Source organism: Homo sapiens, chromosome 16, assembly GCF_000001405.40.
Source record: "Homo sapiens chromosome 16, GRCh38.p14 Primary Assembly".
NCBI classification, from domain to species: Eukaryota; Metazoa; Chordata; class Mammalia; order Primates; family Hominidae; genus Homo; species Homo sapiens.
In genome coordinates, this window is record NC_000016.10 from 21,097,064 (window position 1) to 21,109,444 (window position 12,381).

At 42.6% G+C, this 12,381-nt stretch overlaps 1 protein-coding gene across 16 annotated transcripts in view; it reads right to left on the reverse strand.

Moving 5' to 3' along the window:
• DNAH3 (dynein axonemal heavy chain 3) overlaps window positions 1-12,381 on the reverse strand; it is a 226,349-nt gene that overhangs the window by 163,953 nt on the left and 50,015 nt on the right. For 13 of the 16 annotated variants that reach the window (XM_017023432.2, XM_047434349.1, XM_047434348.1 and 10 more), the window contains 4 exons: window positions 9,427-9,611; window positions 7,408-7,531; window positions 1,553-1,706; window positions 292-436 (listed from right to left, as the gene is read on the reverse strand). In XM_017023432.2, the coding sequence (XP_016878921.1) occupies window positions 292-436; window positions 1,553-1,706; window positions 7,408-7,531; window positions 9,427-9,611 (608 nt within the window). Of the gene's footprint in view, window positions 1-291; window positions 437-1,552; window positions 1,707-6,828; window positions 7,532-9,426; window positions 9,612-12,381 lie in introns of those variants that run through there. The other 3 variants (NM_017539.2, NM_001394581.1, XM_011545888.2) reach the window with 3 other exon arrangements.

Sequence of the window (12,381 nt, forward strand, 5' to 3'; positions counted from 1 at the left end):
AGCAGCACCATCGTGAAACTGCCATCTGTTCTCCTACCATCTGCAAATCTAAGTCGTGACTCTGGGTGGCTGCCTATTGTGTTTTACCCTGGAAATAGATCTGGCTCTTTCTCCACCTTCCATTTTTATTATCACATCAGATAATTTTGACTGTGGCTGCCTTAATCTGGAGTGTCAGAATCTGATTAAAAGTCCAGCCAGATTCTTAAGTGCAAACCATATTTCAGAAGTGACTGGGTGGATCCTCCACCTCATCCCCATCTGTCCCAGCAGAGTGAGATCACCACATACCATTCATCCATTCCTCTGACTTGATGCTGAACTCATAGGCTGTCGACCACAGCTGCTCATAAGGTACTTTGTTCTTCAGCATGGCCTGCAGAAGAGGGTAAGTACTCTTCTCCTTTTCCAATAGCTCTTCCTCCTTATTGATCAACTGCAGGGCAAAAGGAGATGCTGTTTATGGGATGGGTTGTTCTCCTAAGCCCTCGAAGACACCAGGGCAAATTCCTCAGTGCCTTGAAAACCAAGTGGAGGGAAATGCTTATTCATCTGGAGAGTAAGAGAGGAAACTAAAGCATGAACTCAAGCAAGAATGTCCCTCTGCCACCTCCAAGGACCTTGGCAGCTGAGGTCTGTCTGGTTGAAACTGTAGGATAATCAGCTACTTGCCCTATCATCTCTGTTTCCACTCTATGACAGCCATATCTCCGTTTTCATAATTTTCATATGTACTTTAGCTACATATATGATGTTACCTCCTTGTACTGACTTGCCTCAGAAGTAAGAATTTTAATGGTTATTAAAGAACTTACTAGCTGATCTTTGGGGACAGTTACTTAGCTTCTCCAAGACTTAGTTCTCTTACTTCAGGGATAAGTGAGGATAATAACAGTACCTAACCCAAAGATGTGTTACAGGCATTAAGTGAAATATTGCATATGAAGCTCTTGACCATTGCTAAGCACATAATAAATGTTCAATAAATGTGAACAATTACCTTACTATAATTTCTTCTTTGGATGCTCAGTAACTAATAAAGGGAAAAGTCTGGTGTCATGAAGGGATATGGGAAAAGGTAGTTGAAAGTACCAGTGAGCCAGGTGTGGTGGCTCATGCCTGTAATCCCAGCACTTTGGGAGATGAGGCAGGTGGATCACTTGGGGTCAGGAGTTCAAGACCAGCCTGGCCAACATGGCAAAACTCTCTATTAAAAATACAAAAAATGAGCTGGGCATGGTGGCACACGCCTGTAATCCCAGCTACTTGGAAGGCTGAGGCAGGAGAATCACTTGAACCCAGGAGGTGGAGGTTGCAGTGAGATGAGGTCACATTACTGCACTCCAGCCTGCGCAACAGAGTGAGACCTTGTCTCAAAAAAAAAAAAAAAAAAAAGAAAAGAAAAAAGAAAGTACCAATGAAAGAACTGGCCAATGAGTTAACCAATACTATCCACCTAGTAGATGCTATTAGGAAATAGGAAATTCACAACCAAGGATCAGAACCAATAGACCAGTACAGTGTCATAAGTCCCCATCTCAAGATCCCAAACCTCAAACTCTGCAAACGCCCGATTTAGGTTCTTTGAAAGCTCATTAAGCTTTTCAACATTGTGCTTCATTTCTTCTGTAGTCATCACTTCGCGCTTCCTAAAACTTTCCAGTTCTCTGTGGTAGCCCTCAAGTCTCAACTCAAATTCTGAGCATCTGAAAATAAAGACAGCCTGGTTACCTTTGGACTTTGCATTTTGTGCACTTTCAAAACATCAGCACTGCTTGCCCATATTTAAGCCTGCAGACAATTTGATCAGTTACCTGCAGATTTCCTCCCCCAATACTCCCAACTCCATCTTTCTCTCTCTCTCTCAAGATAAATGAAGATGAAAAAATAAGTTAAACTACCTATAAGACCACCTCCCAGAAATCGAGCTGTTGTGAGCCTGTTGGTGGTTAAACATTTCCAGATATTTTCCTGTACAGGTAAATACGTATAAGATATATGTACACGTATACATACTGTTTATTCATTCAGCCATTAGACATTTATTATTGAGTGCCTAATATATTCTATAACTGCCCTAGGCATCAGGAATATATTTGCGAAGTATGCTATTAAGTTCTCTACCTTCATGGAGCTTCTATTTTAACTGAGGGAGACCTAGACAATAGACATGGATGGATGGATGGATGGATGGATGGATGGATGGATGGACAGATGGATGGATGGATGAATGGATGGATGGTTGGATGAATGGATGAATAAATCCATAGACAGGACAAACAATAAAATATTTCTGTTAGTAATAAATGCTCTGAAGAAAATAAAATAGGGCAGAATGACTAGCAGACGGAAGTGGAGGGCTACTGTAGCTACAGTGACCAGGAGAGACCTTTCCAAAGATTTATCAACTTCATCCATATTATCAACAAAGCAGGTCTCAATGAGAACTGCTCCCTTTTTCTAATGAGGTAGAATAATATAGTGTGAAGTGGACAGGGTCTTGAGACAAACAAGCTAGCTTCAAATTCCCACCTTGCCACTTAGTAGCTATGTAGTCTTGGGAAAGTCACTTAAACTCTCTGTGCCTCGGGTAGATAAAACAAGGATAGAAAAAATGCCAGCTTAATAGTTAAAGTCAATAAGAACAACAATAACAAAAAAAAGCTCAGAATTGAGCCTGGTATACAATAGTCAATACATAAGTGTTTGCTCACATTCACTAAAATGTAAACTCTATAAATAGTTGATTTTTACTTATTTATTAATTTTTACCCAGCCCTGTTCAAGGAAATAAATATGTTTCTTGTCTCCTTAATTCCTTTTAGTGTCTTCAGCAGTTAGACCATCTGATACATGGCAAATAATCAATACTCTTCAAACAAATAAGGGAACTTGTCATTGAGATCAGCTATAGTGACATTTCATAAATTTGGTTATCCTAAGAATGCTTAATTCTGTTATGGCAGTTTTAAAGTTGCTTTTTTCTTAAACATGATTTAGAGAATTAATTTTCAAGTGGTTTGAGTCTCTCTCTCTCTCTTTATCTCTTTCTTTCTGGAGTGCAGTGGCACAATCTCGGCTCATTGTAACCTCTGCCTCCCAGTTTTAAGTGATTCTCCAGCCACAGCCTCCCAAGTAGCTGAGATTATAGGTGCCCGCCACCATGCCCAGCTAATTTTTGTATTTTTCATAGAGATGTGGTTTCACCATGTTGGCCAGGCTAGTCTCGAACTCCTGACCTCAGGTGATTCGCCCACCTTGGCCTCCCAAAGTGCTGGGATTACAAGCATGAGCCACATATTCCGGCCTCCATTCCTTTTCTCAGCTTTTTATTTTTGTTTTGTAATAAGCTGTAATTTTAGACTCTGGTCAGTGTTCATTTTCAAGAATATCCTTAGTGTAAAAACATTTCATTCATTCACTCATTAAAATGGTGAACATCCACTATAAGCAAGGAACCGTGTTCTATCTGAATCCTTAGGCTTTGGTGAAACACAATGTCGGGTGCTCTCCCTAAGATGTCTTCCCTTCTTCCTCCAGGGTGCCAAAGTGTTTTCCTTTGCCCTTTTATGGCAGAGAGCAGCAGCTCACATCCCTGAGTCATCCATCGTGTAAATATCACATAACTTCCAGAACCACGGAACCTACCACTGAGTTGGATGAAATGATGGGGGAGAGAGGCAATGCTTATTATTCTTCTGTTGTACATGCAATTAGGTGCTGCTAAGTGCCTTTTCACATCATTAAATTCTTTTTGAAGCTCCAAATACTATACTCACATAGAAATCTCTGATGAAAGCAGTTTTGAATTCCTCCCAGAGGGCAACTGCATGTAAGCTCAGTGATTACCTTAAAATATTACTATTATTATTGTTTCTAATTTCTTATAATTGCTAAGTACATTATAGTTTCCAAAGTACTTTCATGTCCCCACAACACACACACATACAAACAACTGCTCCTTGACTTACAATGGGGTTACATCCCTATAAACCTATTGCAATTTGAAAATACTGGAAATTGAAAATTCATTTAATACACCTAACCTACTGAACATCAGAGCTTAGCCTAGCCTATCTTAAATGCACTCAGAACACTCACATTAGTCCACAGTTATCATCTAAGACAAAGCCTGTTTTATAATAAAGTGTTGACTATCCCATGTAACTTATTGTATACCGTACTGAAAGTGAAAAACATAATGGTTGTATGGGTACTCAACATATCACTTTCACACCATCAGAAAGTCAAAGAATCGTAAGTTGAACCATCGTAAGTCAGTGACTAGCTGTGTGTATGTGTGTGTGTATATATGTAAATTCCATACATATTTCATATAAATAAATTCCTATATATATATCCCAATATATTATATTCCATAGAATAATACAATCATTAGCAAATAGTAGGCACTCATGAAATTAGGTTGAATAAGAGTTGTATTTGTGGGACCATTTAGAGTGTAAGGGGAGGATTCTGGCAGGAAATAGAATTCACTCCCATGTTCAAAGAAAGATACTTTAAGGATTACTTGCAGGGGTGAGATATGGATAGGATTAAAGGAACAAATAGCAGACAGTGAGGCACCCAGAGACTAGCATCAGAGGGAAGCCATTAGGACCCCCAGGCTGGGGACAATGGAAACTGGAACCATGGAGGAGGAGGCATTGACATCAGAGGGATGCAGCTACTGCCTCTGAGCCCCAGGGCCAGGCAGGGAGGGAGAGGAGGAAAAGCTTGCTAGCTACTCTCCCACCTCCTGCAGGGCTCTGTGGACAGGGCCCAGCCCGGATCCAACAGACAAGAGAATCCAACACTGCAGATTGGGCATCACCTTCCAGGTGCAGAGCCGGAGGGTGGGGTAGGAACAGCAAATGGAGAATAATCGGCATGGAACCCCAAAACCATTAATGTGGACTGGGAAAATAAAGCCAGATTTCTTGCAGAGGAAGCAAGATTGTTTTCTCATGAGATGGATGGATGCATGAATATGGCTTAATCCATCTCACAGGCTGTTCTCAGGATTAATGCAACATGATGGACATAAGGATTTAAAGGTTCACCGAAGAGAGGGGTGAGCCCAGGGCTGCCCTGCTGAGCCTCTTCTAGAGCCGCCCTCTGCTGGCCCCTGCTGTTAAGAGCTGGGGAACCAGCGGATGAGATCAAGCTGAGAGTCACCCCTCAGAAGGAGACAAGGACACTCTACTCCTCTCGTCATAAATGACAATTGTTCCCATTCCTCACAGAGCCACCCCTCACTCCTCCTAACTTCAACAGCATTTACTGTCTCTAATTGGTCTTGGAGTAATATTCTAAAATCATGCATGCAAAATTGATGCCTTGGAAGTTGAGAAGCGTTTTTCTCCCCACAGAGGTCCCTGTTCAAAGGGAGAAGGAAGCTGATAGTTTTGGGATTCCTACCACGTGCTGTTTACCACCTAAGCACAATCTCAGATCATCTCATTTCATCCTTCAGCACCATGAGAGAGGGTCTGATTCTATCCCGTTCTCCAGATGAGGGGCACAGAGTCTCAAAAAGATGAGCCTTCTGTTTATTTATCTAACAAAAAAAGTGATTTTGCCACCCAAGTTGTAAGTTTACTTATATAACAAACCTGCACATGTACTCCTGAACCTAAAATAAAAGTTAAAATATATTAAAAAGCAAATAAAGAAATTGCTGGGGGAAAATGATTTTACTTTCCTGGTTAGACATAAAAAAGTGGTAGATATATAGAGTGGATACTACTCAGCCATAAAAAGAATGAATTAATGGCATTTGCAGCATCCTGGATGGATTGAAGACTATTATTCTTTTTTTTTTTTTTTTTGAGACAGAATCTCGCTCTGTCACCAGGCTGGTTTCAGCATGTTGGTCAGGATGGTCTCAATCTCTTGACCTCATGATCTGCCTGCCTCGGCCTCCCAAAGTGCTGAGATTACAGGCATGAGCCACTATGCCCGGCCAGGAGACTATTATTCTAGGTGAAGTAACTCAGGAATGGAAAACCAAACATCGTATATTCTCACTCATAAGTGGGAGCTAAGCTATGAGGATGCAAAGGCATAAGAATGATACAATGGACTTTGGGGACTCCAGGGAAAGGGTAGGAGGGGGGTGAGGGATACAAGACTACAAATTGGGTTCAGTGTGTACTGCTCAGGTGATGGGTGCACCAAAATCTCAGAAATCACCACTACTTACTCATGTAACCAAATACCACCTGTTCCCCCAAAAACCTATGGAAAAAAAATCAGTTCCATAGAAAAGGGTGTAGAGGGTGTGTGTGTGGGGGGGGGCAGGGTGGGGGAGTTGGGAGGTATATGGGAATTCTTTGTACTTTCTGCTCAATTTTGCTGTGAATCTGAAACTGCTCTAAAACATAGTCTATTAATTTAAACACAAATCAATTCCTTCCATCAGGCTAAGTTCTGGGCTCCAGGGCCAGTATCCATCCAGGTGGAGGCAGGAAAATACACACACACTCACAAACACACACACACAAATGTTTTGCACTCCCTGGGGAGCACACTTAGGCCACATTTTCCAGGTAGCAACTACATGGGTTGACCCTTCAGCCAAAACTCTCCCATTTGGTGTAGAAATCCCTGCTTTTATCTATTCTTGTCCTTTCTTGTAAGTATTTGCAGGAACTATGGCAGCTCAAGTTGGGAGTGGGAGTTTCTTATGTGAAGGGGACAGGGTAATTGATATGAATCTGCAGGTCATAATCAAAACGTGAACCTGGAGTGGGTGTGTGTGTGTGTAAAACCATGTCCATGGCACTGGCCCACTTCACTTGACATTATTGGATTTGTCAGTATGTCTATATTTTCTATGTCGCTGGATTAAAATCTTTATTTAGCAGCCAAACACACATAGATGTCTAGAACAGAGCATAGCACATCATGAAAATCCGCAATAAATACCAACTGAATTGACAAATAATGAATGAATAAGTGATTACAGCCACATTAGCTCTGAATAAGACCAGCTGCAAAATAGGCAATTTCTCAGCCCCCCTGCCATGCCTTTATTATCTTGATATCTTGATATCTTACAGATCTGTGGTCTCCAATGTAAGGCTGACAATTTCACTATTATTATTGGGGAGGCCGTTATAACATGCCACTAGTTTTGCGTTTTTCTCTCTGCACCACCAAATTCCAATTATTCAAGGCAGGAAGGGAAGACATTAGCAGAGGTTATTACAGTGAAGCAGTCTTAAAGAAAACATCCCTCAGTGGGAAACCAAAGGAAATGCCTTCTCCACCAATTGTTTTCAGACTTCGCCCACACGTTGCCATGGAGTGAGCTGGGGGATGGCTTAGACAGAACCAGGAACCTGCAGCATGGGTGAAGAAGTCAGGTCTCATTTCCAAGACAATCCCAGACTCTCCCGGTACCTTTTAATCAGATCCATTTCTGCCTGATCCCTCTTGTGAAGGAGCAAGTTCCGGCTGTTGTCAAAGATATCTTCAATCTGGTCTGGCCAGAGGAACAGAGTGCTGTTCAATTTGATGTCCTCATCTGCAAAACACATACTGCCTGCTCCAGGACACTGTTTAGCATAGGTCGGGTCAGCATGTGGCGAATTAATTAGACAGAACAAGAGGTCAACAGGAGTGGTGTGGGGGTGGCAATGAACACATGGATGAGTGACAGTGACATTTGTTGAGCACTTACTAAGGGCCAGGCTAGAAGGTAGATGATATTATCATCCTTGTTTGCACAGATGGCAAACACAGCCATTGAGCCTAGTGGTCAAGGTTACACTGCTAGAAGGCATCAGAGAGGAATTCAAATCCAGGTCTAATTCCAAAGCCTGTGTTCTAACCTCTCTGCTTGATTGCCTTCCTAGGCTAGGTCTGAGTCAAGTCAGAAACCCAGATTGATGCTCTCGTTCCACAGTTCAAACTATTTCACTTCATCTGCATGTCGGTTTCCCTTTAGGTTAAATGGCAGTCATGGTATCAAAGCCAAATGCCCTACCCATTTTATGACTCTGGTGAATTAAAATGTCCACCCTGGGTTTCCTTTGTGAATTTCGGGAGGCAGAGCCCACAGTGAGAGTCCACGGTGTATCCAGGGGTCGAGGGCACAGCTCGTGAACATGCAGGTGGATGGTTAGGGAACCACTTTTCACTCCCAGTCCCCATCTCTCCCTCCCATCAACCTCCCCCTGACATCCATACATTGTGAACACCAAGTAATTCACAGGTATTTTCAGATAGAAAATGGCTTGTTGAGAGGTTATTAACTTTTCCTTCAGAATCTGCTTCTCACTTTAAAACTCTAACTTGACCCAACAAACTTTCAAGGAGCCCTGACTATTTTTTTCCTTTTACAATACACAGGAGCATGAAGAAAAGTGTCTCGGCCTCTTCAAAAGTGGGATTGATGAAGATTACAGATGGGCGGCCAGGGGCTGTGGCTCACGCCTATAATCCCAGTACATTGGGAGGTCGAGGCAGGCAGATCACTTGAGGCCAGGAGTTCAAGACTAGCCTGGCCAACATGGAGAAACTCTGTCTCTACTAAAAATACAAAAATTAGTTGGGCGTGGTGGCACGTGCCTGTAATTCCAGCTACTCAGGAGGCTGAGGCATGAGAATTGATGGACCCTGAGAGGCAGAGGTTGCAGTGAGCCGAGGGTGGCACTGCACTACAGCCTGGATGACAGAGCAAGACTCTGTCTCGACAAAAAAAATAAATAAATAAAAGATTACAGGTAAGTAAAATCTACTCATTTAAAAAAATGATTCTGCATTTGGAAGTGACTTTTCCAGGAACACCAGACACAGATGCCAAGACAGGGATCTAAGAACTGGAGGTCGGCCAGGCCCCATGGCTCACGCCTGTAATCCCAGCACTTGGGAGGCTGAGGCGGGCGGATCATGAGGTCAAGAGATAGAGACCATCCTGGCCAACATGGTAAAACCCCGTCTCTACTAAAAATACAAAAATTAGCTGGGCATGGTGGCACGTGCCTGTAGTCCCAGCTACTTGGGAGGCTGAGGCAGGAGAATTGCTTGAACCCAGGAGGCGGAAGTTACAGTGAGCCTAGATTACACCACAGCACTCCAACCTGATGACAGAGCGAGACTCCATCTAAAAAAAAAAAAAAAAAAAAAAGAACTGGAGGTCAAGTGTCTATCTATGTCTCCTTTGTGTCTAACAAGATTCCTTTTGTGTGATTCAAATTACTGTGGATATGAGTATAAAATTCGTGCCTCTAACATATGGGGGCACTTGAAAGGCAGCTCTTTTATATTTAGTGGTAGAATTCATATAACTATCCTTTTGCTCAACACTTTACCCCTAAATATATAAATACATATAGACTATTTGAAATGTTATATATACAAATATAAAATATACATATAGGTATGCATTTCGATGGTCACACATGGCATTGGACTTACACGGCAAGTCTGCATAGTCCATCAGGAACTCCAGCCGTTCACTTGCATCTCTAAGTTGCCTCCTGAGTTTGAACACAGTGACAGCACTGGATTTCTTTAGGAATTCAATGAGGGATACCAGCTCCTTAGTGTTGGCAGGAACCTCACTGACTTTGTCTGCGATGTGGCTGTACTGATTACAAATGCTACAGAAAAGAAACAGCCATTGTTATCATCATCATCATCACCATCATCACCATCTAAAATGACTTTCTTGTAAGACTCCATGTTCAAAATACATAATTCCTATTTGAAAAAAAAAGAAAATTTTTTTTTAATTTTTTCCCTGCCTGCAAATCCTTGATGGATAATATTCACATGCACACTAAACTCCAGGAATAATAGCAGTTGTAATGATAATAATACCTGTTATGTATTAAGCCATTATGAAGTAGCACACCCCATTCTAATCATTTACATAGATTAACTCATTTAATCCTCACAACAATTCTAAGAGGTAGATACTACTATTATCTATACTTTATAATGGAAGAAAGTGACCCTGAGTAACATTATCGAAAGCAACATGGTATGTGGGTGTCAGAGCCAAGATCTGAACCTGGGTTAATTGACTCCAAAGCTCATACTCTTAACAAATACACCATACTACCTCTCATACACAGAACCTAGATTTAGACCAAAACACCACCACCACCACCAGCAATTCATCACATTTTGTGTTGAAATAGAGCACTAAATTAATTTTTAATCTTTTTTTTTTTTTTTTTTTTTGAGACAGAGTCTTGCTCTGTCACCCAGGCTGGATTACAGTGGTGTGATAGCTCACTGCAACCTCTGCTTCCCGGGCTCAAGCAATTCTCCTGCCTCAGCCTCCCGAGTAGCTGGGATTACAGGTGCCTGCCACCATACCCGGCTAATTTTTGTATTTTAAGTAGAGATGGGGTTTTGCCATGTTGGCCAGGCTGGTCTTGAACTCCTGACCTCAGGTGATCTGCCTGCCTTGGCCTCCTAAAGTGCTGGGATTACAGGCATGAGCCACCGCACCCAGCCTTAATCATTGCTTTTAACAGAACAACAGTAAGTTTATCCTCATGGGCTACAGGTAATCCCTCTTGGCAGAGAAAATGTTCCATTACTGGGACTACCAGGTCTAACTGGCCACTTTTCAAACATAAGACTGAAAAATGATGTTATTATACAGATAATTTGAATATGCTCTAATTTATGCAAAAGCAAATGACTGACGGTCTTGGCATCTTAACTACAATTAGAAGCAAATCATCCGCAATACGTCCACTCCTAGCACAGAGTGGCCCTCAACAAATGTTAGCAATGATACCATAGTTTTGTTATTATTACTTGATCGTGACATGTTTTTTTTTTTCTTTTTTGAGATGGAGTCTTGCTCTGTCACCCAGGCTGGTGCACAGTGGTGTGATCTCAGCTTACGGCAACCTCCGCCTCCTCCCAGGTTCAAGCAATTCTCTGCCTCAGCCTCCCTAGTAGCTGGGATTACAGGCACCGCCCCCACCCACCACCACACCCGGCTAATTTTTGTATTTTTAGTAGAGATGGGGTTTCACCATCTTGACCAGGCTGGTCTTGAACTCCTGACCTCATGATCCACCCGCCTCGGCCTCCCAAAGTGCTGGGATTACAGGCGTAAGCCACTGCGCCCAGCCCTGTTGATGTTATTTTTAAGGCAGACAGAAACTTCAGAAGTCAGCCACCAACCTGGAGTTCAGCTGCCAACCTGGGGTGTCTGCATTCTTAGATATTCCTGGGTTCAGAATGAGGCTCTTATTTTCACTTATATTAAAAAGACCTAAGGACATTATACATTTATTTGGATAAGGATGAATGCACTGATCAACTAAGGCACCATGTTGCTTTGATTTGACAGGAACAAATGGATGATTGCTTAAGGGAAAAAAATGCATGGCTCAAACTTTCCAAAGAAAGTCTCCAAGTAGGCCGGGTGTGGTGGCTCACGCCTGTAATCCCAGCAGTTTGGGAAGCTGAAGTGGGAGTATTGCTTGAGCCAGGGAGTTTGAGACCAGCCTGGGCAAATGGCAAAACTCCATCACTACAAAAAATGCAAAAATTAGCCAGGTGTATTGGTGAGCATCTGTAGACCCAGCTACTTCGGGGGCTGAGGCAGGAGGATGACATGAGCCCAGGAGGTCGAGGCTGCAGTAAGCTTTGATCATGCCACTGCACTCCAGTCTGGGCAACAGAGTAAGACCCTGTCTCAATTTTTTAAAAAGTGTCCGAGTAGTGTGAAGGCTGAAAACCTTTTGCTGTCCTCGTCCCAAACCCATATCCTATAGGCAAAGAAGCTGAAGATACAGGCTGGGTGCGGTGGCTCACCCCTGTAATCTTAGCACTTTGGGAGGCCAAGGCAGGCAGATCACCTGAGATCAGGAGTTTGAGACTAGGCTGACCAGCATGGTGAAACCCTGTCTCTACTAAAAATACAAAACATTAGCCGGGTGTGGTGGCACACACCTGTAATCCCAGCTACTCAGGAGGCTGAGGCTGGTGAATCACTTGAATCTGGGAGGCGGAGGTTGCAGTGAGCCAAGATCATGCCACTGCACTCCAGCCTGAACAACAGAGCGAGACTCTGTCTCAAAAAAAAAAAAAAAAGAAAGAAAGAAAAGAAAAAGAAAAAGAGAAACTGAAGATCCAAGAGACAAGGCCAGCTATTCTGGCTCCAAAACCAAGAATCTGACCTCTTCATCAATGAATGAGAAAGCTGCTTGCACATGGACTTTGAGGTCAAAATGGGTTAATTCCCAGATATGCCACTGCCTAACCTGTCAGAGTCTCAGTGTCTTCATCAACACGATGGGGAAAATAATGAACAACCTCTTAGGGCTGTTGTGAGTTCCTGATTAGATCTATTCTGTGCAGGGTACTTATATGGTGCCTAGATTATACCATGTGCTGGGA